This window comes from Homo sapiens, chromosome X (assembly GCF_000001405.40).
Source record: "Homo sapiens chromosome X, GRCh38.p14 Primary Assembly".
NCBI lineage: Eukaryota > Metazoa > Chordata > Mammalia > Primates > Hominidae > Homo > Homo sapiens.
Window position 1 is genome coordinate 85,967,402 of NC_000023.11, and position 27,257 is coordinate 85,994,658.

A 27,257-nucleotide genomic window follows, 5' to 3' on the forward strand; every position below is an offset into this window, starting at 1 on the left:
TTATAAGCCTTCAAATGAACCTTGGAGTTCTAAGATATTACAATGATTTTAACATACACAGGTGCTCCTCGACTTATGATGGGGTTACGTCCTGATAAACCCAATATAGTAAGACAAAGTGCATTTAATACCCCAATAAAACCATTACAAAGTTGAAAAATCATTAAGTCGAACCATCTTAAGCTGCAGACTGTTTATCTAAAGGAAAACAATCTGCATCATTAGTTCTTATAAAAATGTTCACTATCAAAATTGATTTCACAAATTAAATTTAGTGTCATTTACATTGCTAGCTTTAATTCCAAAGGTCATTTATAATGTAACAATATTTTTTAGATAATTTTTCTTAATAAAAACTGCTTAACACTGCTTTTTGTAAATGCATTTTTCACTAATTGCCAAAATTCATATACTACTCTGAGAGTTTGGAGGTATATATTCTGATATCATCTAGTACTGCTTCCCAATTAATAGTAATAACAAAGAAACACCTCAAAGTAAATGTGTCTTATGAATACCTTGTAACAGCCTTTTAGAGGAATCAAATGAAAAACTGAGGAACAGGTGTTTAATTTATTCAGCACAGGTGTTCACCATTTATTTTTCAGCCATTTGCACCTTCTCTTACCCAATACGACTTGCTGCAGACATTGTATTCTTTTACTTTGATGTTTATACTTTGTTCTAAGGCCATTTATTTCTGATTTTCACAGTATATATTATACTGCTACCCAGCTGTTTATTCCTAAAATAAATGTTTAATGGCTATTCATAAGAATTACAAAAATCAGACTATTCAGAAATTGTTGTTCTACAAAATAGCAATATAAAAAGTGAAATCAATTTTGAATTGCTGCAATATGATACATTGGTAGATATATATTTCCCAGTTTGTTACCAACCTAAAACGTTAACACATACTATAGAATACAGGTGAAATGTCAACCTCTTGTCATGTTTACCCAAGAACAAAACTTCATAAAATGGTGTGCAGCAGGACTGTTGGTTGTCTACTCAACAACAAATACCCTTTTTCTCTTTGCTTTAAGAGCTCCAATTTTGTTCCAATATTAGAGAGAAGCTGCTCAGTCCTTGGGGATGGATCATGACAGATCAAAACCAATTATGATAATTTTACCTCCCTTTGCTGGTGTTTGATTTAGAAGTGAGTACATTATCCAGTTTCAGCCAATAAGATAATGATGAGTCTGCTGGGGGCCCTTGTTGAAGACTTTCCAGTAAAATAAAAAAGCATAAACATGTTAAGAAAACCTCTTCCCCTTTTCCTCATGTTTAGAAGTTTTTTTCTTATGTGAGAACCTCTTTGAAATCCTGGCAAACATCTTGTAACTCCAAATGGAAGGCTAAGAGAAGTGTGGAGTGCTGCCCCAGGGCTCTGATGGGCTGAAGCAGCACAATTACAAATCCTCTACCTACCCACCCACCCACTTACCTATGGACTTGTTTAAACCACATTTAGTTGGGCAGTGTTTCAATTCTGGCCTAAAACACACTTAACTGTAGACAGTGATGAGTAATTTCCTCTAAACTGTAAAAATTACAGGTGATTTTACATTTTATTTGTATTCGCTTCATCTAAATTAGAAGTATTAGTGTTCGAGAAGCTCCTGTTGCTTGTATAATTTTTAAGTGGAAATTTAAGAATTCAAAATAAATCAGTAGAATTTTAGATTCCTATTGCAAAAAAATCTTTATTTTTGGTATGAATACATTAGAGTTGGTTCATTTGAAGGTAACAAATAAGTTTTCATCCTGCTTTAATATTATACCAGAAAAAGGGAAACAACGTTCAGTACAATGCAGAAAATAGGACAGAAAATGTATAAAGCTATTGTTAATATTTTAGAAAGATAAAATCTCTTCTCACTAAAGAAACTAGATGACTTTATGCAATTAACAAGCAACGATATTTTACCTAAGAATAACTTGAGTTTGTGTGATTTAAGTGTGAATTAATATATTGCACCTTTTTATAGTCTGTTCAAGATCTAAAACTAGAAACAATAGCTACTTTTATTTCCCCACATAAACTATGAAACTATTACATGGTAAGAAAGAAGAACTCTCACACACTGTTGGTAGGAATGCAAATCAGTACAGCCATTATGGAAAACAGTACAGAAGTTCCTCAAAAAATTAAAAATAAATCTATCATATGATCCAGCAATCTTCACCCTCACTACTGGGTATATAGCCAAAGGAAATGAAATCAGTAGGTTGAAGAGACATCTGCACTCCCATGTTTATTGGAGCACTATTCACAATTGCGAAAATATGGAATCAACTTAAATGCCCATCAACAAATGAATTAACAAGGAAAATGTGGCATATATACACAATAGAATACTGCACAGCCATAAAAAAAATTAAATCCTGTCATTTGTGACAACATGGATGAGCCTGGAGAACATTATATTAAGTGAAATAAGCTGAGAACAGAAAGAAAAATACTGAATGATCTCACTCATATGTGAAATCTAAAAAACTTGATAGTGGTTACCAGAGACTGGGGAGAACAGGAGGGAGGGGAAGATGAGGAGAGGTTGGTCAATGGGTATAATGTTACAGTTAGGTAGGAGGAATACATTCTGGTACTCTATCACACAGTAAGGTGAGTATAGCTAACAATAATGCATTGCATATTTCAAATAGCTAAAAGAGATGATTCTGAATGTTCTCACAAAAAATAATAAAGGTTTAAGGTGATGGATATGCTAATTAGCCTAATTTGATCATTCTACAATGTTTATATGTACCAAAACATATTGTATCCCATGAATATATACAATTATTATGTATCAATTTAAAAAATCCCATGGCATATAAACTGGTCTCAACAACTAAAGAATATTGGATTCTTCCCATAGCTTCCTAACACTGGGAGTTAGGCACTTTAATTTCTCATTACAGATATAACTACATTACAATACTATATAGTATTCCAGTAAATTAAAGAAGTAAATGCACTTTCTTAGGTGCTAGTCTTCACAAAGGAAATACTTAATTCACTTGGTGGAACGGTTGGTTCCCTTGATGTGCATACATGTGTTTACCTGATGACTGAAATACAACATGATACACTGGAAATAGCACACGTTTTTGAGTTAGAAAAACACAAGTTCAAATTTGGCTCTGCTATCTCTAGCATTCCTTGAGCTTCTGTTTGTCAGTAAGATGTACCTATAGCTCATGCACATGACTGCTGCACAGAATAAATGAAATTAATATGTAAAGCAACAGGTTACAGCAGTTGCCACAAAGATAATATCCAATAAACACTAGTCCTTTTTCATTTCCCTTCCATAACTCGATTGTGTAATCACAAAAAATCACTTCAATGAAAAACAATCTTTGTGTAGCAAAAATATTTTAGGTCCAAAATATTAAGTAGCCCACTTATTGTAAGGAAGAATCAGGAAAACAAAGCTCTGATAAAACAATCTGGATAGTTCTTTACAGTCTATGATGTTTGAACCTAGCCTATGATAGAATAATTACTACAATTTACATTTTAGTCTTTAGCCTGTTTTGCAATACCCAACGTATTAAATTTAATGTTGAAATGATCATGAAAACCTTTAAGTTGAATAATACTTCAGAATACTTTTTAAATAAGTCATGGTAATCAAAAAATAACTATCCTATATATTTATATTAGAATACATAATATATAAATACACCCTATATATTTATATTAGAATACATATATTAGAATTATATTGCCCAAATACTTTGACGTATTTTCCAAGCAGTGGTAATGGGTTTGCACTAATCCATTTGAATTCTCGCCTAGTCCTCCTTGCAATCAAATGTAAAATATTAGAATGCTATCGGTGTGTCCGGAATTGGTGGGTTCTTGGTCTCACTGACTTAAAGAATGAAGCCGCGGACCCGCGCGGTGAGTGTTACAGCTCTTAAGGTGGCACGTCTGGAGTTTGTTCCTTCTGATGTTCAGATGTGTTCGGAGTTTCTTCCTTCTGGTGGGTTCGTGGTCTCGCTGGCTCAGGAGTGAAGCTGCAGACCTTCGCGGTGAATGTTACAGCTCTTAAGGCAGAGCGTCTGGAGTTGTTCGTTCCTCCCGGTGGGCTTGTGGTCTCGGTGGGCGCAGGAGTGAAGCTGCAGATCTTCGCGGTGAGTGTTACAGCTCATAAAAGCAGCGTGGACCTAAAGACCGAGCAGCAGCAAGATTTATTGCAAAGAGCAAAAGAGCAAAGCCTCCACAGTGTGGAAGGGGACCGGAGCTGGTTGCCACTGCTGGCTGGGCAGCCTGCTTTTATTGTCTTATCTGGCCCCACCCACATCCCGCTGATTGGTAGAGCCAAGTGGTCTGTTTTGACAGGGTGCTGATTGGTGCGTTTACAATCCCTGAGCTAGATATAAAGGTTCTCCACATCCCCATCAGATTAGTTAGATACAGAGTATAGATACAAAGGTTCTCCAAGGCCCCACCAGAGCAGCTAGATACAGAGTGTCGATTGGTGCATTCACAAACCTTGAGCGAAACACAGGGTGCTGATTGGTGTGTTTACAAACCTTGAGCTAGATACAGAGTGCCAATTGGTGTATTTACAATCCCTGAGCTAGACACAAAGGTTCTCCAAGGCCCCACCAGAGCAGCTAGATACAGAGTGTCGATTGGTGCACTCACAAACCTTGAGCTAAACACAGGGTGCTGACTGGTGTGTTTACAATCCCTGAGCTAGACATAAAGGTTCTCCAAGGCCCCACCACAGCAGCTAGATACAGAGTGTCGATTGGTGCACTCACAAACCCTGAGCTAGACACAGGGTGCTGATTGGTGTATTTACAATCCCTGAGCTAGATATAAAGACTCTCCACGTCCCCACCAGACTCAGGAGCCCAGCTGGCTTCACCCAGTGGATCCCGCACCAGGGCTGCAGGTGGAGCTGCCTGCCAGTCCCGCGCCATGCGCTCACACTCCTCAGCCCTTGGGCGGTTGATGGGACTGGGCGCCGTGGAGCAGGGGGCGGCATTTGTCGGGGAGGCTCGGGCTGCACAGGAACCCACGGTGGCGGGGGAAGGCTCAGGCATGGCGGGCTGCAGTCCCGAGGCCTGCCCCGTGGGAAGGCAGCTAAGGCCCGGTGAGAAATTGACCACAGCGCCGGTGGGCTGGCACTGCTGGGGGACCCAGTACACCCTCCGCAGCCACTGGCCCGGGTGCTAAGCCCCTCACTGCCCGGGGCCGGCAGGGCTGGCCGGCCGCTCCGAGTGCGGGGCCCGCCAAGCCCACGCCCACCCGGAACTCCAGCTGGCCCGCAAGCGCCACGCGCAGCCCCAGTTCCCGCTCGTGCCTCTCCCTCGACACCTCCCTGCAAGCTGAGGGAGCCAGCTCTGGCCTTGCCAGCCCAGAAAGGGGCTCCCACAGTGCAGCGGCGGGCCGAAGGGCTCCTCAAGTGCCGCCAAAGTGGGAACCCAGGCAGAGGAGGCGCCGAGAGCAAGCGAGGGCTCTGAGGACTGCCAGCACGCTGTCACCTCTCATCGGTATGGCTATGACATTGTTTATAACCAAGAAATACACATTTTACTCTTCCTTAATGTTAAATAATCAAGTGGCATATATGAAAATCAAACCATAGGCCGGGCGCGGTGGCTCATGCCTGTAATCCCAGCACTTTGGGAGGCCAAGACGTGCAGATCATGAGGTCAAGAGATCGAAACCATCTTGGCCAACATGGTGAAACCCAGTCTCTACTAAAAATACAAAAATTAGCTGCGCATGGTGGCACGTGCCTGTAGTCCCAGCTACTCGGGAGGCTGAGGCAGGAGAATCACCTGAACCCGGGAGGCAGAGGTTGCAATGAACCGAGATCACGCCACTGCACTCCAGTGTGGTGACACAGTGAGACTCTGTCTCGACAAAAAAAAAAAAAAAAAAAAAAAAAAAAAAAGAAAGAAAGAAAGAAATCAAACCATAGATTCTACCCTAATATACACCAACTCTATAAATAAGCTAAGTCATCTGGTCTAAAGTGACAAGACATGTCATAATATTTTAGCCTTCATATCATTATAAAGTAATTTTTACATGATGTTTTGGAAATTTACAAAAACATTTAAAACAATATCCCACATATATAGTGCACCAATGATTCAAGTTTGACTTATATCTATTTACTTGCTTGATACAAGCAAATACAGTAAACTCTTGGCATGAATGATCATTTAAGGGTAATACTTTTGGTAATTTGTCATTTGGCCAGATTATGGATTTGAATTGCATATGCTGAGACACCATGTGCAAGAACAATATATTCAGCAAATGAGAGACATGATTGCCCAGCATTAGCATATAATTAAAATGTCCTCAGGAAGTGATGAGAACTTCCTTTCTGGGAAAAAAGAACAAAGTAGGGCTTATTAAGTGAGCCTAAGGATAAGTAGAAAACACAATTAACCTGTTGCCATATGGCTGTGGATGGAAAACACATGACTCACAAGAGAAAATAGATTCTTAAAAACAAAACCAAACCAACAAACAAAAAAGCAGCCAGTGAAAAGAAAGGCATAAAACTTTTCCTCTTTACTGTACACATAATTATCTAGGTAGAAAATCCCAAGCAATCTACAAAAAAGCTTCCAGAACTGGGAAGTAAATTCAGCAAGATTTCAAGAAATATCCAAAATCAAAACATAAAAGGCAAGTGCATTGCTAGATAGTAGCAATGAATATGTGAAAACCAAAATTAAAAAGACAATACCATTTATAATTGTTCCAAAGAAAATTAAATATTTAGGTATGCAATTAGTAAAACATGTACAGGATCAGTATGCTGAAAATTACAAAATTCTATTGAAGAAAATCAAAGATGAGCTTCATAAGTAGAGAGACATACCATGTTCATAGATTGGAAGACTCAAAATAATAAAGAGGTCAATCCTCCCAAACTATAGTATTAAAGTAATTGTTATCAAAATCTCAGCAAGATTTTTCTTTAGACATAGACAAGCTTATTTAAACATTTATATGGAAAGGCACAAACTCTAGAATATCTAAAACAATCTTGACAAGGAAAAATAAATTGGGAGGAATTTATCTGATAGTAAAGCCTATCACATAGCTTCAGTAATAAAGATAATGTGGTATTGGTGGAGGAAAAAACATATAGATCGAACAGAATAAAGAACCTCAAAATAGACCCATCCAAGTACAATCAACTGATTTTTGACCAAGGTATAAAAGTAATTCAATGGAGGAAGAATAGCCTTTTCAATAAATGGTGTTGAAGCAATTGGATATCCTTAGATCGAAAAACAAAAAAGAACACTGATCTAAACGTACAACATAAAACTATAATTAAAAAAAAAAGAGAAAATCTATACCTATAGGTAGGCAAAAAGTTCTTAGACTTCACACCAAAATAATCAAAATAATCAAAATAATAATAATTGATAAATTAGACCTCATCAAGATTAAAAATATTTGCTCTGCAAAATATCCTATTTAAAGAGGATGAAAAGACAAGCTAGAGTCATGGGGAAAATATTCTCCAACCACATATCTGACAAAGGACACATATTTAGAATGGATTTTTTTTAACTCTGAAAACTCAACAGTAAAAAACTACTCCAATTTTAAAAACAAGCAAAAGACATGAACAGACACTTCACCAAAAATGGTATATGGATGGCAAATAAGAGAACATGAAAAAATATTCAAAATGAGCCATCAAAATGGCTAAAATAAGAAAGTGACAACACCAAATTAAGGTAAGTATGTGGAGAAATTGGATTACTTACACATTTCTGGTGGGAATGTAAAATAGTACAGCTCCTCTGAAACAGCTCTGCAGTTTCTTTTAAAACTAAATATGCAATTACCATATGACCCAGCAATTATACACTTGGGTATTTATCCCAGAGAAATGAAAACTTTTATCCCAGAGAAAGTCACATGAAAACCAATGCACAAAATTGCATAACAGCTTTATTTGTAATAGCAAAAACTAGAAACAGTAAGATGTTTCTCAATGGGTGAATGATTAAACAAACTGTGGTAAACCCATTACTGTGGAATACTATTCAGTGATGAAAAATGAACAAACTACTGATGTACACAACAACCTGGATGAATCTCCAGGGAATTATGCTGAGTAAAAAAAAGCCCATGCCAAAACATTACATACTATACAGTTCCATTTACATAATATTCTTAAAATGACAAGATTATAGAGCTGGAAAACAGATTAGTGATTGTCAGGAGTTATGAATGGTAGGGGTGAGTAAGAAGTAGATCAGATGTGCTTACAGAAAAATAATAGTAGGGGTCCTTGTGGTGATAGAACTGTTCTGCTCTGTAACTTGACTGTGACAGTGAATACATGAACCCACAAATGTGATAAAATTGTATGGAACTAAATACACACAAACTCCATATCTGCAAAATGTAACATTAGCATCACTAACACATATGTTTCAAAAAGCAACGACAAAAAGCCAGAAACCTGTACCATATTTTTCATTATTTACAAAAGGGTATGCATGAAGATTTTGCAATGTATCCTTTAAGAATGTTAAAGATCTACTATATAGTGATACTCTTACTTACTCAAGAGGAAATAAGAGAATTTTCTAGATAACAAAACCTCGTCTCTTAAAAGGGTACAATTTTTATTCTAATCATTTTTAATACTCATCTTTCTAAAACGTACTTCAAATCCTCTACTTTTTCAAGTGGAGGATAAAGAACATTATTTAACTTTTGCCTGAAGACACTGGAATACAACTGTGATCATCAGCTGTTACACTGTACTATAATATAGTGACGGCCTTGAGGGATCTTCTGATATGAAAAGCCACTTACCCATACACTAAATGGCCCAAAGTCTGCTTTCAGCTTGCCGATGCTGTCTTCTCCTTTATTATTCTACCAAGCAGCACTTAAAATAGTAGCATGTTAGAGCCGGGCGCAGTGGCTCACGCCTGTAATCCCAGCACTTTGGGAGGCCGAGGCAGGTGGATCACGAGGTCAGGAGATCGAGACCATCCTGCCTAACACGGTGAAACCCTGTCTCTACTAAAAATACAAAAAATTAGCCGGGTGTGGTGGCAGGCGCCTGCAGTCCCAGCTACTCGGGAGGCTGAGGCAGGAGAATGGCATGAACCTGGGAGGCGGAGCTTGCAGTGAGCAGAGACCACGCACCACTGCACTCCAGCTTGGGTAGCAGAGTGAGACTCCGTCTCAAAAAAAAAAAAATAGTAGCATGTTAGAGCCCAGAGAGACTTCTGAGATCGCCTAGTCCAAACCCTTCCAAACACGTTTCATTAATGGCAAAACATAGACTCAAAATAGAGACATCCCTTGCTCAGTATCACATAGCAAGTCAAGGACTATAACCCTAGTCTCCATGTGGTTCTCAGTTTGCTTGCCTCTAGCAGATACCCCTTTCCTATTTGCTGCTTTAAACTACAATGCTAGGGGGAAAACACACACAAACACACACACACACACACACACACACACACACACACACAGAAAGAAAATGAGGTTGTCAGAAATATGTATTAAATAAATAAGGCTTTTAAGTCAGTGAGTGCTGATGATAACCTCCTGTATAATGTAAAACTTTGTGACAACTATTTTGGCCCTAGCCCCTTTCATATAATTTCAAGTTTGTGAACATGATCCAAAAGATTAAGGATGCCAGTCTTGCTGGGGCTAAGTGAGATATTGTTAGTCCTATTTACCCATGTTGCCAGCACTTACTATAGATAGCCCTTACAAATGGATTTTCTGTACTTTCTCTACTTTCCTGATGTTCTCAAGGCTTTTCCTGCTTACTACTATGACATTAATAACCAGCTAACTTTTCCAAGTGAATTAAGACATATAAAACATTATCCCAGTTCACTTTATGCTCCACGCTCTAACTGGCAAGAGGAACATATAACAGAGTTCTATTTCGTTGTCTTCAAACAAACCTTCCACCAACAACCATTTAGTTTCTCACTTTGAGAAGTTATACAAACGAAACTGAAGAGATCAGGAACTGAAAATGAGATAATTTTCTTTGCACTCAAAATGTATCAACTCAGCCATTAGAAACTATTAACCTCAATTATCATAAAAAGTAATCAGTGGCCTTGAAGTAACAAAAGTATAATACCTCTCAGAAGGCCAGTGTGACTGTCACTATATTGTAGTCAAGTAATATAATATTCATGGGCACACAAAAGCACGTAAGAAAGTTACCAAATATTTATTCCTCATTTCGTTAAAGCATATGTCTTTTCAGTTGAAATCATCTTCCGTTTTAAATCTTTCAGCACTGGCTCTGAAGAATATCTAGTGAGCTGTACCTTTTCATACCAAATGGTATTTAGCATTATACAAATTATAATCTATACCAGACATTTCAAAGGCTGTGCTTTTACAGAAAATCACAGAACACAAACAGTATATTATGGGGAAAGAATGCTACTTACATGGAAGATATGAACATAGGTTAAGAAGTCAAGCACATGTTACCAAACTTTTCACAGGCTCATGCTTAACACTCTGCCACAACAATGATATGTAAGATGACAAAGCGTATCCTGAAGAATCTCTGGTGTATTGAATTTTAAGTTTTAATTACTATTAAAGTGCCTGACAGACTGATGTTCTAAGCCTCTGGACTCTATAACTACTTGAATGGCTTAACTATGTGATTATTACCTTTTAACCTGTCAATCATATATCATTTGAAAAAGTATACTAATCCAATTGTTTTTAAACAGTGAATCTCTCACTCAGAGGGAGATACTTAAAACATTACTTCCAACTGTTCTATCCTAATTTACCAAAATATGTACCCAAATATTATGCCCACAAAATTTACGTATTCAAAAATGATAATCTTCCATTTTGCTACACTGAGTATTATCTAAGAAAGATGATATAGTTGGAAGAACACTGGAGCACTAGGAAAAACTCTGGAATTTAATCTTGAGCTCTACCACTCTGGAGCTTAAGTGTGGCCCTGCCGTTTACCAAGCCACGTGACCTTCTGCAACTACTTAATCTCCTTAAGTTCCATTGAGGATTCTGTAAAAAAAATCCAACTATTAATACTACTATCTGCCCTACCCTAGCAAAGAATTGTTTTAATGATCAAATGAGATAATATATTTAAAACGGCTTGGTAAATTCGGAGGCGTTAAGGTAAAATGTTATCATTATTACCTAAACAGAGACAACTGAAAGTTCCATTTAAAAACAGGCAAAACCAGCATATTAACGTGACTTGTAGCAACCAATGCCACATAAATCTTTATTGTTGGCTTCTTCTAAAGAAGAGTGAAAAAGTCATTAATTTAGTTTACCTGCAGTAAATACTTTTCATACCTGGCATAACAAAATACTTCCACATGTTGAATAGTTTTGTCCTTCCTGCTAAGAGCAATGGCTTCTTCATTTTCAAGGATCTGGTCTTGCCACACTGGACTGTCACTTACAATGTCACTGTTTTCCTAAACAAAACACAGATAAGAAGTTTTAATCAAAGTGGGCAGTGTGAAACATGCAATTTTCTGAGAAAATTTACCTCTTGTCTAAATTCATGCTTATTTCATCTTACCAAAACTCAAAGGATATCACCTCAGAGTCACCAAAGAAAGTCCAACAAGTGTTTCAACTTCAAAGGAAGGGGAGAAAAACAATGTGTAAAATCTGTACTATCAAAAACTAGATCTGATTTACAGATTTCTGTCAGGGTATATGAAATTTTGAAAAAGTCATTCGGACATGGCTGTTTGGACATTGCTTAAGAACTAGGACAACTAACCCTCTATCTGCTGAGAATCAAGTATATCTGTTATATACATTACTTATTAATAAAAACAGGGCCTTTTTTTTAACATTTTTTGGTCAAAACAGCAGAGTCAAAATAACTTCGTTCTATTTATTTTCAGATCTTTGAAGGTTGGTCGCTAGTCATATCAAATTTTGATTACATATAAAAGTACTTCTGAAAAATATTCAGCCCAGTATAACTAAGGGCTTTATAATAATTAGTCCCTGAATACCTTAAAAAACAAGAAAGACAATAAAAAACAAGAATGTGTACTAAAGCATGTAAACTCTCACTAAGGGTTGAAAGTGGTCCGTTAAAATGTTCAGTAATTCCTAATTATATTTTATGGAGTATTTGAATACACAGTATTTTTGAAGGTGTCAAGATATACCTTTTTCAAATGTCAAGGATCAATTTTTAATCTGTTTAAAATTTTAAGCTGTTTAATACACATCTTTCTCAGAGAAAACTTTTTGAAACTGTATTATACATACTGAAGGAACTAGTAGGAAAATAGAATTACAATATCTTTTAAGTAAATTCATCTCAGAAAACTTTTAAACTTACAAATGTCATAAAGGCAATAAATATTTTTAAAAGGCTTTGTTGTCCTGAGTTTAACATTTTAAACTGAAGAAAAGTAGTGACATACAGCTCTTATTATCAAGTATAATATTAGATAGTACTAAACATCCAAACATAAGTAGAAGAGAAGGTGAAATACAAGATTTTTGAATGTGTAGACATGAGGTTACCAGCCTAAGAAAAGAACTGTGGACCAGGGAAAGGGAATGGAGAGACAAAGACAGTGGCAGGGTCAAGATTCTGGAGTAAAACAATCATTAAAATAAACTAAACTTCAAGAAAAACATTTTTATTTGAATAAATAATAAACATTACCAAATGTATTTTTTTTAATTTCCATTCAGACTATTGGGGTATATTTTGTTATTGTTGTTTTGAGAATCTACACTACATTTTCTCATGGAAGTACTAAATATGCCTAAATATAAGGTGACCCTCACATACACTTCCCAAAAATGAGGTGCAAAAAAGAGTTTCTGATCAAAGTAAATACATGAATATTTAAGCACAGACTAAACAGTTAAATATCTACTTATTTACTCTCTTGACTTACACAGTTTGAATTATTATATGAAATGCTACTTTACAAATACTGCTTGTTTCTCTATACTCATTTCATGCAACAATATTCAAACTGAATTTTCACTGCATCTTCAATATCAGTGTCTTTGTCATCATGAGAGGCACTTTTTGAGTCATGTATACTGATTAAGTCATGTACATTGATTAAATCAATCAATCAATGCAATGGTGCTTGGCACATGATAAATGCTTAACAAGTCTTAGCTAACTGAATACAATTTTCTGGACTACATCATCCTCCTTTCCAAACATCTAAATTCTTTTGCGATACAGCAGTTTCTGATCTTCTGTATGATGCTCTCAGCAGAAATTTCATTTCAAGCCACATGTACCAATCTGCATAAGAGTAGGACAGATTTTTTTAAATCTGTCTTATAAAAGTTGGCAAGCTCCATAACTGACTCTCCATATTATGCTATACGTGATCCCTAAACAGTTTCTTTATAATGGTATTCAACAGCTTAGTATTGAGATCCTACTCTTAGAAAAAAAATTACTTAATTCATACTAAATTTCTTTGATTTTTTCTTTTGGCTGATTGTGTCAGGTGACCTCTATAAAATACAAAATCACCACTGAGATCATTTCAAATTAATGTATATTCCCCAAATTGTTAGGTTTTTTCTTTTTTTTCAAAAAAGGTTTTTGTTCAAAATATACTGACTCTAAGAGCAACCAGTAAATGTGAGATTTTATAAGGACTAGGATATTTTTTCTAAAGATGATTTTGGGGAAAAAATTATCATCTTATATTTGGGCACATAAATAATTAGGAAATAGTTATTAAGTACAAACAGTTTACTCTTCAACCAACATTTCTATTTCTATATATATATATAGACACACATATTTTTTTTTTTTTTTTTTTTTGAGACAGAGTCTCACTCTGTTGCCCAGGCTGGAGTGCAAAGGTGCAGTCTCGGCTCACTGCAACCTCCACCTCCCAGGTTCAAGTGATTCTCCTGCCTCAGCCTCCTGAGTAGCTGGGACTACAGGCACGTGCCACCATGCCCAGCTAATTTTTGTATTTTTAGTAGAAATGGGATTTCGCCATGTTGGCCAGGCTGGTCTCGAACTCCTGACATCAGGTGATCCGCCCACCTTGGCCTCCCAAAGCGCTGGAATTACAGGCATGAGCCATCGCACCCGAGCTCTATTTATATTTAAAAAGGGATAAAGACATTGGGAAAATATTAGCTAAAAAGGTGACTTTACATATTTTTTGTAAAATAAGTGAATAAAAATAAAGAATCAATCCTGTGTTACAGGTGAAGCTTAGGGTTTTCTTCAGTGCAGGGTTACTATGTAACATACAATAAAACAAAGCAAATTAAAAGGTCAGATACAAACTTTACCTGGTATTCCTTTAGCCAGGACAATAGTCCTGAAAAGCTAAAACTGGCCCAGTTTCCTCCATAGTAGCTTCTTCTGTAACAATTAAAAAAAAAAAAAAAAGTAAAGAAAATGGTATAAAAATCAATTCACTGATCTTCATCAACAAACCATCTTTAACCCTTAAACTTACTTCACTTTTTAATATTACTGCCTCAAGAGTTCAAAAGTACACATAATTGGAAGGCTCACATAAGTGGAAGTGGTAGGCTAAAAGTAGGCCTCTCAGATCCCAAAAGAAATGTTTCATCACATAAGGAGTTAAAAAACATCTTTGGCTCCCTTAAAGCTTTCTCCACTGATTATGTGAACCGCCTGACATGGGCATTTAGCAGGTAACATGAATATATATGACTCTTGGGTTAACAAATGTGGCAAGGAAGAAAACCTTGATAGATCTCAAAGAAAGCTACTGAAAAACTGCTAAGTTTTCTGTAAGTACTTAAATCTCCTCCTCCTCCACCACCACCTCCGCCACCTCCACCACCACCACCACCAAACCCATCTCCAACACAAAACATACACATACACACAGACACACAATTGGCTACTCTAGATAAAGTGGAAGACCCTGTGCTATTCTTAGCCTTTAGGGCCAAAAATAAAAGGAGATACTGGGAAACAGTTATTCACATCACATCAAGATATTTGCAATAAGTATAATAGAAACAAAACTATCACTAATAACCGGGTGAGCTATTATTCTTCATTACTCAGTCCTGTGAAGATCGCTGTTTTGGACAACCCAGAGGTCTCCTAAATAGGTCAGGTAAACCTTGTAGACATTAGATCATTAAGTGGGGATTTTTTGCAACCAGAACTCTTTAATTCTTCACTGCATATTGGGGCTCCGGATCCTTGTAAAACGATTTGCACTTACTGACTCTGTATGATGAGCCCCCAAGTACACTTGATCCCACCTACAACACCCATTCTGGTTCTGGTTGGGAGGGATTCTTGGTTTTGTTTCCATTTTCATTTTTGCTTCTCTGTTTCTCTAATAAAATAAAAATCCATGAAAGGTTTTTAAACAATTAAACAAAAAATAAAACCTATAATGTGATATCTAAAATTACTCTTCCAGCCAGGCACAGTGGCACACACCTGTAATCCCAGCTACTTGGGAGGCTGAAGAGAGAGGAGTCCTTGAGCCCAGAAGTTCAATACCAGCCTGTGCAAAATAGCAAGACCCTATCATAAAATAAAATAATGAAATGAAATAAAATATAAAATAACTCTTCCATAATGCTACTGGAGATCATCTCCCAATTCTGATTCATGTTTCCTAAATCAACTGTCAACACAGGTCTGAAAAGTAAGCAGATTTTAGGCTCAAGCATTTTACCAAACAAATACTGCTTTTCTCTAACAGAGAAAAGGGTTAAATAAAATGCCTGTGAAAGTAGCTTTATTAATATAGATCATATCGTACTTACATCTGATGGTCTCTTCGGAAATAATGTAAATTCATGCACTGTCCAGAATCTCCAATGGTCTTTAAAATTTAGCTAGAATTTCAGCTATAGTAGCAATTCTAGATGGTCACCCTTTACCAAAATGTTGGAATCAGGAAACCTACAAGCAGTGACCCCTTGCATCAGAGAGAACAGTGAAAGGAAGGAGAAGGTGGGTGATGGCAGGTATAGAGAAGACAGAGGAATGTTAGAATTTGAGGTTTTCCCATAGCAATTTATACTTCCATCCCTTTTGCCTGAGAAGAATACAATTCTGCTATCTCTTCCCATCCTCCAAATATAATACTCAACAAAACTAGAAAATATCCTAGGTTTTGAAGGAGGGGAAAAAAACCTGAAACTACTGACACTATATTTATTTGTTGAGATATTTAGATTTATTTGCAATCAACATAAAGTCTTAAGTGAGCAGCACTGGCTAATGGGTGAAAGCTTCAAGATCAAAGTAAAATTTATTTGAATGGATATACCAATATATAAGTAATAAATATATATCAAAAATCTAACATTGGGGACAGACAAAAGTTTCTTCGGACACAAAAAGCAATTAAAACTATTGATAAATTAGGTTTCCTCAAAATGAAAAACTTCCCTAAAAAATAAATTATTTTAATAAATGAATGGGCCAGACACAAATATTCACAAAACATATCTAATAAAGGCTTGGTATTGATCGGGCACGGTGGTTCATGCCTGTAATCCTAGCACTTTGGGAGGCCGAGGTGGGCGGATCACCTGAGGTGAGGAGGTCGAGACTAGACTGGCCAAAATGGTGAAACCCCGTCTCTACTAAACAGAAAAAAATTAGCCGGGCGTAGTGGCACACACCTGTAGTCCCAGCTACTCAGGAGGCTGAGGTAGAAGAATTGCTTGAACCCAGGAGGCAGAGGCTGCAGTGAACCGAGATCGTGCCACTGCACTCCAGCCTGGGTGACAAGAGCAAAACTCTGTCTCAAAAAAAAATAAAAAATAAAAAATAAAAATAAAACTTGTTATCCAGAATATATAAAGAACTCTTTCAACTTAATAAGACAGATATTAAAAGGTAAAAATGGGCAAAGGGTTTGAAGAGACACTTCACAAAAGAACATGGTTAATGAGCACATGAAAAAGTACGCAATATCATTAGGTAAGTGCATATTATAATAGCATTACAAATGAGCATATGAGATACCAGTACGTAGCCACCAAAATAATTAAAAAGATTGTCAATACCTGGTATTGATGTGGATGGCCAGAATGCTCATATATTTTGGTGAACATACAAAATGGTACAAGCACTTTCTAATATCTGGTAGTTTTTTAATAAATAAATATATACCCACCTTATGATCGAGTAATTTCAATTTCTAGGAAATTACACATGAGAAAAGCATATACTGACAAAAATACTTGTACAAGTCTTTCCACAGCAGCTTTATTAATAGCCCCAAACTGATAATAATCCAAGTATCCATCAACAGGAGAATGAATAAACAAACTGTCGTATATCCATAAAATGGGATACTATTCACCAATAGAAAGGAATAATCACCTGCTATATACAACATAAATGCATCTCAAAAGCATTATGCTGAGTGAAAGCCTTGGCCAAAGAGTACATACTATATGATACCATTTATATAAAATTATGGAAAAAGTTAATCTATGATGAAAAATATCACAAGACTGGGAGTGGGGTCAGGACTTGACTGTGACTTTCCAGGCAACCTGGCTAAAGAAGCTGCGACTCCAAAGAAGTGGGAGGTTAGACCCCCATACATACCCCTAGGAAAGGGGCTGAATTCAGAGGACTGGGCAGCAACAATCTGCAGGCCCCACTTCCATGGCACCTCACAGGATAAGAACCACTGGCTTGGAAGTCTAGCCAGCCAAAGGGAGCCGCATTGCACACCTCTCTGAGACAGAGCTCCCAGCGGGAGAGGTGGGCTGCCATTTTTGCTATTTGAGCAACTTAGTCTTTCCAGCCTTTGGACTTTGGAGACTCCAAGCCATCGCAGGTCAGACCCAGTCCCCCAAGCCCAGCACAGCGGCTCTACAAAAACGTGACCAGACTGCTTTTATAAGTGGTCCCCGATTCCATTCCTCCTCACTGGGTGGGATGTCCCAACTGGGACCAGCAGCCCCTGCCAGTGTTCTCTGGCCAAAAGAGATTTGAAACCTCCCTGGAAGGAAGCTCCCAGAGGGAGGGGTGGGCCACCATCTTTGCTCTTTGGATGACATAGCCATTCCAGCCTTCAGGCTTCGGAGAGTCCAAGCCAACCAGGGACGGAAGCGGTCCACCAGCACATCACAGCTACTCTACAAAAAGATGGCCAGACAGCATTTCTTAAGTGGAACCTCAATCCCATTCCTCCTCATGAGGCAGGACCTCCCAACCAAAGTCTCCAGCCATATTCTACAGGTGCCTTAAGGCTGGCAACAAGTCCACATCTTCCTCGGATGGATCTCCCAGAGGGAGGGGCAGGCCATCATCTTTGCTGCTTCACAACCTTCTATGTTGATACTTTGAGGTACTGGAAAATCCAAGGTCATTAGCAACTGGAGCAGGCACCCAGTATACCATAGCAGCCCTACAGAAAAGCAGCCAGACTGTTACATGGGAGCCTGTTCCCATAACTCCACACCAGGCAGGTCCTCCAGTCCTGGGTCACCAGCTACCCTCACCAGAGCTATTTAAGCCAGTAGCAGCTCGGCAACTCCCTGGACAGAGCCCCCAGGAGCAACTGAAAGCCTCTCTGCCACTGCCTCTGCAGCAGACTTCCCTTGCTACCCTTGGACTAACGAAGAAGCAAAGACCCTAAGTGCCTTACCCAAACCTCCAACTAACTGTAGTCAACAGAAAAAGGGGTCAGTCCATTTCCCATAGGTCACACCCACCCCCGACTGCTCGCCACTAGAGAACACCCAGGTTGGGCCCAGAGCACAGATCCTGAATCCTGGACTGCTCTCACTGAGCAACTGCTGACCTGCATCTCTCTGGGGTGGAGCCCCCAGGATACAAGTAAAAGACCCTTGGCCAAAATCACTACTAAGGTCCGTTACTCTGCTGCCTCCAAGTTGTGGAAAAAACATAAATGCTGAGATCACCCCAGAGTTTCAGTGGGCAGCCCAGGAGCACCAAGCTATGGTCTACAGCCAGCACTCAAAGGGGAGAGGAACCCACACTTTCAGAGCATTGATAGGGAACATGGCTGCAACTGTGAGGAAACATAGCGGAGGCACACAACCAAGCAAGAATCTATCAACTAACCAGTACACTTAAATGCCACCTACTGGATGACACGCCAAAGCTTCAAGACCAAAAATACTCACTAACATACGTACCTCTCTTAAACCAAAGACAAGAAGTCAGCTTCCAATAAAGACCCTGTACGAAGCCTCGGTCCTGTGAAAATAACCAGAAAAGAAGTCTACTGACTGTACTCACTCTACACTTTAGTTAAAGGAATACCCACAGGCAGATATGGGAAAGAATCAATGCACGAACTCGGGTAACTCAAATGGCCAGTGTTGTATGTCCTTCAAACAACCACACCAGTTCTCCAACAAGAGTTCTTGACCAGGCTAAGCCGCCTGAAATGACAGAAATGCAATTCAGAATATGGAAAGAAATGAAAATCTTTGAGATTCAGGAGGATGGAGAAACCCAACCCAAAGAAGCTAAGAATCACAATAAAATAATACAAGAGCTGAAGGATGAAACAGCTGGAAAAAAAAAAAACTAACAAATCTGACAAAGTGGAATAACACAATACAAGGATATCACAATGCAATCACAAGTATTAACAGCAGAATAAACCAACCTGAGGGAAGAATCTCAGAACTTGCACACTGGTTCTCTAAAATAAGACAGACAAAAATAAAAAAGAATAAAAAGATATAAACAATATGACTGAGAGGTATGGGATTCTGTAAACAGGCAAAATCTATAAATCACTGGCATCCCTGAAAGAGACAGGGGAAAAGCAAACAACTTGGAAAACATATTTCAGGATATCTTCCATGATAATTTTCCCAACCTGGCTAGAGAGGCCAACAGTCAAATACAGAAAATACATAAAACCCCTGCAAGATTCTACACAAGAAGATCATCCCCAAAACACATAATCTTCAGATGTTCCAAGGGCAAAATGAAAGAAACAACATTAAGGGCAGCTAGAGAGAAAGGGCACCCCATCAGGCTAAAAGTGGTCCTCTCAGCTGAAACCACCCAAGCAACAAAAGATTGGGAACCCATATTCAACATTCTTAAAGAAAAAGATTTGCAACCAAGAATGTCAATGAAGACAGGAAAAACTATTCAAAACATCCATGAATCCAGGAGTTGGCTTTTTGAAAAAATTAATAAGATAGATAGGATGTTAGCTAGACTTAAAGAAGAGAAGAAAGAAGACACAAATAAACACAATTACAAATGACGAAGGGAATGTTGCCACTGACCCCACAGGAATATAAATAACCATCAGAAGCTACTATTAACACCACTATGCATACAAACTAGAAAACATAAAAGAAATGGATAAATTCCTGGACACATACACCCTCCCAAGACTGAACTAGGAATAAACTGATTCTCTGAACAGACCAATAACAAGCTTTGAAATGGAATCAGAAATAAATAGCCTATCAACCAAAAAGGCCCAGGACCAGATGGATTCACAGCCGAATTCTACCAGATGCACAAAAGAAGAGCTGGTACCATTCCTACTGAAACTATTCCAAAAAAATGAGGGACTCCTCCCCAACTCATTCTATGAGGCCAGCATCATCCTGAAACAAAAACCTCGCAGGGATATAACAGAAAAAGAAAACTTCGGGCCAGTATCCTTGATTGAATATTGATGCAAAAATCCTCAACAAAATACTTGCAAACGGAATCCAGCAGCAAATCAAAAGGCTAATTCACCACGATCAAGAAGGCTTCATCCCCGGGATGCAAGGTTACTTCAACATACATAAATCAATAAATGTGATTCATCACATAAACAGAACTGAAGACAAAAACCATGTTTATCTCAATAGATGCAGGAAAGACTTTTGATAAAATTCAACACTCATTCATGTTAAAAACTCTCAGCACACTAAGTATTAAAGGAATACATCTCAAAATAATAAGAACAATCTATGACAAACCCACAGACAACATCATGCTGAATGGGCTAAAGCTAGGATTCACCTTGAAAACTGGCACAAGACAAGAATGCCCTCTCTCACCACTCCTATTCAACGTAGTATTGGAAGTCCTAGCCAGATCAATTAGGCAAGAGAAAGAGATAATGGGCATCCAAAAGAAAAAGAGGAAGTCAAACCGTCTTGGTTTGCAGACTACATGATTCTATATCTAGAAAACCCCAGTCTGGGCCCAAAAGCTCCTTCAGCTGATAAACAACTTCAGCAAAGTTTCAGGATACAAAACCAATGTTCAAAAATCCCTACCATTCCCATGCATCGATAATAGGCAAGCTAAGAGCCAAATCAGAAAGCCAATCTCATTCACAATTACCACAAAAAGAATAAAACACCTAGGAATACAGCTAACCAGGGAAGTAAAAGTTCTCTACAATAAGAATTAGAAACCACTGCTCAGAGAAATCAAAAGACACAAATAAAATGTAAAAACATCCCATGCTCATGAATAGGAAGAATCAAAATTATTAAAATGGCCATACTGCCCAAAGCGATTTACAGATTAAATGCAATCCCTATCAAACTACCAACAACACTGTTTACAGAACTAGAAAAGACTACTTTAAAATTTATATGTAACCAAAAAATACCCAAATAGCCAAGGCAATCCTAAGCAAAAAGAACAAAGCTGGAGGCATCACGTTACCAGATTTCAAACTATACTACAAGGCTACAGTGACCAAAACAGTATGGTACTGGTACAAAACCAGGTACATAGACCAATGGAACTGAATAGAGAGCCCAGAAATAAGGTTGCCCACCTATGACCACCTGATCTTCGACAAAGCTGACAAAAAGAAGCAATGGGGAAAAGACTCCCTATTCAATAAATGGTGCTGGGATAACAGGCTAGCCATATGTAGAAGACTGTATCTGGAGCCCTTCCTTACACCATATACAAAAATCAACTCAAGATGGATTAAAGACTTAAATGCAAAACCCAAAACTATTAAATTGTTGGAAGACTACCTAGGCAATACCATCCTGGACATAGGAATGGGCAAAGATTTCATAACAAAGATACCAAAAGCAATCACAACAAAAGCAAAAATTGACAAGTGGAATCTAATTAAACTTCAGAGTTTCTGCACAGCAAAAGAAACTGTCAACAGAGTAAACACACAACCTACAGAATGGGAGAAAATTTTTGCAAACCATGCATCTGACAAGGGTCTAATATCCAACATCTAAAAAGAACTTCAACAAATTTACAAGAGAAAAACAATCCCATTAAAAAGTGGACAAAGTACATGAACACTTTTCAAAAGAAAACATACATGTAGTCAATAGCATATGGAAAAAAAACTCAATATTACTAATCATTAGAGAAATGAAAATCAAAACCACAATGAGATACCATCTCACACTAGTCAAAATGGCCATTACTAAAAAGTGAAAAAATAACAGATGCTGGCAAGGTTGCAGAGAAAAGGGAACACTTGTACACTGTTGGTGGAAGTGTAAATTTAACCACTGTGGAAAGCATTATGGCAATTCTTCAAAGAGCTAAAAGCAGAGCTACCATCCAATCCAGCAATCCCAGTAGTGGGTATATACCCAAAGGAATATAAATAATTCTACCATAAAGACACATGCATGCAAATGTTCACTGTAGCACTATTCCCAATAGCTAAGACATAGAATCAACTTAAATGTGCATCAATGACGGACTGGATAAAGAAAATGTGGTGCATATACACCATGGAATACTATGCAGCCATAAAAAAGAACAAGATTGTGTCTTTTGTGGGAACACAGATGGAGCTGGAGGTTATTATCCTTAGCAAACTAACGCAGGAACAGAAAACCAAATACCAAGTGTTTTCACTTATAAGTGGGAGCTAAATCATGAGAACTTATGAACACAAAGAAGGCAAGAGCAAACACTGGAGTCTACTTGAGGGTGAGAGGAGGAAGAGAAGCAGAAAATATAACTTTTGGATACTGCGCTTAATACCTGGTTGCTGAGATAATGAGTACAACGAACCCCCATCACACGAGTTTACCTATGTAACAAACCTTCACATGTACCTGCAGACATAAAAGTTTTAAAAAAATTGTAGAAAACATGGTTGTAATCTTTTGAAAGCTTCGCATAGCTTATTCAGAGTGCCACCTAAGGTTTTCCAGAAACAATAAGGAAATAAGTTATACAACCCTCTCTTAACACTAATCAAGAAGATAATAGAAAAAAATAGTACTGAAACTAAATCAAGATCTTTCTCATCCTTCATATGGTGTTTAATGTTAAAGCAATATCAGTTTGCTTAACATCTCTTAACAGAAAAGCAATACTACAGGTAGACTCAAAGAAAGTTGAACTATATGAGAAGGCTGAGCATTAAACCCATTAACTGGAGCTTATTAATTAAATCCTAACAATCTTCTTTTCCATTGTGCATCATAATTACAATTCAGTGTTGAATATTCAGCAGCAGGCATAGCTAAATGCTACTAAACTACATATTGTATTGTGAAATGGCTTCTGTAAGCAAGTCCAAGAACAGTAACAAAAGATGAAGCTACTGACATTCAAGCATATTCATCTGGGAACCATTCTAATTATTAAGAAATTAGGAGTTGAAAATGTTTTCAGGCAGGTAGCTAATGGGATCCAAGGTTGCTCGATGGGAACAAGAGCAGCATAGCTCAACCTCAGACTGTCCTAGTATTCATTCACTGCTCTTACAATTCCTTTTCCTAGAGTAGTAGTAATACCATCTTCCATTGACAGCAGTTTTAATTTCCCAACTTGTTTTTACAACTATTCTCTCATAGATTCTTCTGGCAATCTTGTGAGGCAGATAGAAAGGGTGTTATTTCATAGATGAGGACACTATGACTTGTCTGTGTAGAGTTTAGTCACTAGTCAGGGCCACACAGTTACAATTTGCAGAACTGCAATTGAAACTCAGTTCTCCTGAACTCTAATCCTGTCCATTACAACCTACAAATTCCCAAACTTTTAAGCTGGCTAGCACCATTTAGTCCACAAGATATATTGGTAGCTGTGGTTCAATGAAGTCAAACACTTAATTGAGTAGTGCCTGGTCCTGATTACTAAATTAACCTTTTCTAAAATGTACCCCATCAAAATGAGCTATTATTAATAGGTCTCCCAAGAAAAAACAATGCACAGTGACAAAATAAACTTGGAAAATGCTAGGTTGAAAAATTTAAACAACACCAACAAAAAAAGATTTGTTTATATGATGGCTTCTCAGCACGATTAAATATGTTAATGTCTGTTATAGCTCTCCAAGAGGGAATTATAGCAGTAGGCAGAATTTCTCAAATTCAGTTAACCAACAAACATGTTTTTTTTTTTAAAGTATATTAAAGGATTAGGGCTTAATAGAGCATCTGTTGAGAAACGCTGGCTTAATCCATGTTAAGTAGAACAACAAAAATAGGTTACTAAATACGTTGAGTTTGGCATTTTATATTCACTATTCTCACAAGAATCCAGAGACTGGTGCTACAATTATCCCCGTTTTACAATTAGGGAGAAAACAACAACAACTGTGAAGCTGAATATTGTCTAACTCTCTCAGCTAGGAAATGGCAAAACCCAGATTTAAGACCAGGGACAATCAGGCACCAAAGCCTCTGCTCTTTCCACTAAATACACTGTCTCCTATAATTTACAAGATTAGAATATTTAAATTATAAACATAAGCATATAATACAAATCCTGGAATCTGACATACTATAAGTAAAGACAGTGGCATCTATTCACAAACAGCAGATGGAATGAAATCTAGTTTTTATTTTGTTACCCCAATTCATCTGGATAATAATTCCATGGCTATGATTACTCTAATGTCAGAGCTGGGGAAACTATTCATTTCTAGGACCTAAAATACAACCAATTTTATTGCTTATCTCACATTTAATGTGCACAAATATCTTCACACATATGATAAGAATAGGAAAATAATAGTCTGGCATGTCTACTAGTATTGATTTGCCAGATATTATTGAGTACAATATACTATGGACATTAAAAGAGGCTCTATTTCATTTAAATTTGGTTGAAGTACTACAAAGAGTCATGACATCTCCCTGGTGACAAATAATAGAATAGGCTAGAAAATATACTGGACTTACTCCCTACACAAATTCTCATTTACTGTAAGTTCCACATACTTGCTACACAAGAAAGCTGAGCTCCTTTCACCATCTCCTCATTCCAAGACCAAGGAAAGTGGGCCTCTATGACAAGGTATGCAGAAGCAATTCTAATGTCAGAGAGGAAGACCAGGATCTTATTTGCTTTTATTAATTGACAAGCAAAAAGTGTATATATATTTCTCACGTACAACATGTTGTTTTGAAATGTTACTTGGTTTTAAGAGAGCCCTATGAATCTACAAGAAGTTGCTTTGGCAATCAGATCAGCCTGCCAGAAAGAAATACCAGATCGTGTTCGCAGTCATTAGGGCTGGAGAGAGATTTTCCTGTGTTTGAGTTATTACTCATTCCACATTAGTCCACCCATTCAAATCCGTTTATAGACAACCAAGGCAGGTAGATGAACAAATAATACACAAAGGTTGCCCTCAATTTTTGTTTCCCTCTGTGATCTCATCTGTTTTCACTGATTCAATTATCACTTCTCTGTTGATGACTCACTAATTGGTATCTCCAATCTGGGCCCCTCTGGTGAGCTCCAGACTCAAATCTACTTCTAGTTGGTTGAAAACACAGATCATGACTCATGAGCTTATTGGACACCTCCTTTCACTAAAAGTCCCAGATGTACTTTAATCTCTACATGTCCAAAAGACAAATTTATTATCTGTCCCACACCCCCAATTTGGTCATCCATTCAGTTTCCCTATCTCAATAAATGGCAACACCATCCTTACAGCCTCCTATCCTGAGAAAAAAAAAATCTTAAACTCATTCATCATTCCTTCCTCACATATCCATTCTAGTTAATTTCTTAAGCCCCTTCTATCCTTGCTATCCCTACCACTGCTGCATTATTTCAGGCCCTCACTCCCTCTTATCTATCTATTGCATTAGTCTTATCAAAGGTTTCCCTGCCTGTAGTTTCTTCCCCTTCCAATTCAATCTTCACACTACTGCCATTGTGATCAGGTGTTGGCAAACAGTATTATGCCATTCCTGGCTTAAAGATGTTTAATGGCTCACTAATGTTTCTATAGTAGAGTCCAAAATTCTTAGCATTGCTATAAGACCCTTCAAAACTTAGTGCCAACCTAACTCCCCAGTCTTATCTCTGGACATTGCCTTTCTCTGCCATGCATCAGCCACAACTGCACACTCAACATTGTTTGAGTGAGCCAAGGGCCTGCATATCTCTCTGCTTTTATTAGTGCTATTGCCTATGCCCCAAATGCTATTCCACCATAAAACTAATGATGGAACTAGTAAAAAAAGACAGAACTACTCAAATTCAGTATCATCTCTTCTGTGAAGCCTTCAACTCTTCAAAAAGAACCGATCCCTGTGCTTCCACAGCTTTGCACATACTTCCATTAGAGTTTTGTCATGCTGTCTTATAATCAGATTACATGAATGCTTCCTGTGACTAGACTGAGAGCAACTTAAGGGCAAGGACAGTAGCTTAGTCATCTCTGAATCCTTAATGCATAATAATTATAGTTAACTAAGGGAATTATTACGATTAATGCAATGATATTAATCAAGCCTTTGGCACCAGACAAATCTGGATTCAAATTGTAGTTGTGCCTTTTACTAGCAGCATGACCTCAGTCAGTAATTTTACAGAAGTTACTCTAAAACTCATTTTCTTTACCTGTAACATAGAAATGAAAGTATTTGAAGCAATGCCTAGCACATAGTAAGTTATCAACAGCATCATCACCATCCTCCGCTCCTTGCAAAATGTGAACACAGAAGAACGTACCCACAGCCAGCACACTTCTGCAAGCAATTAACACAGTCCAGTGCCAGTCAGGCATTGCTACATTCACTGACAACCCTGGGAAGGAAGAAGACAAACAGAAACAAGAATGGGGACACAGATGAGAGGACAGAAATGACAGATCAAAGGGTTAAGGACTGCTGATTCCCTCTTCCTTTCTCCCTATCCTCTACTTCAGAATATTCATGGTTCCTTAAATTTAACCCTTCCTTTGTCTTGGAAGGGAAAATTAAACTCTATTTTCATTAATAGGAAAAATAGCAAAATTAGAATGTCAGAAAAAAGCTTAAAGCTTTATTGCTG

At 37.7% G+C, this 27,257-nt stretch overlaps 1 protein-coding gene across 9 annotated transcripts in view, besides 1 other annotated feature; it reads right to left on the reverse strand.

The window, feature by feature from the left end:
• Positions 1–27,257, reverse strand: part of CHM (CHM Rab escort protein) — a 186,379-nt gene that overhangs the window by 106,222 nt on the left and 52,900 nt on the right. For 8 of the 9 annotated variants that reach the window (NM_000390.4, XM_047441793.1, NM_001362519.1 and 5 more), the window contains 2 exons: positions 14,336–14,408; positions 11,366–11,490 (listed from right to left, as the gene is read on the reverse strand). In NM_000390.4, the coding sequence (NP_000381.1) occupies positions 11,366–11,490; positions 14,336–14,408 (198 nt within the window). Of the gene's footprint in view, positions 1–1,692; positions 4,186–11,365; positions 11,491–14,335; positions 14,409–27,257 lie in introns of those variants that run through there. The other variant, NM_001145414.4, reaches the window with a different exon arrangement.
• Positions 21,051–21,251: a silencer, noted in NCBI's record as "peak7402 fragment used in MPRA reporter construct". NCBI's record gives its function as "represses an SCP1 promoter by STARR-seq MPRAs in K562 erythroleukemia cells {active_cell/tissue: K562}" and the evidence as "EXISTENCE:reporter gene assay evidence [ECO:0000049][PMID:32103011]".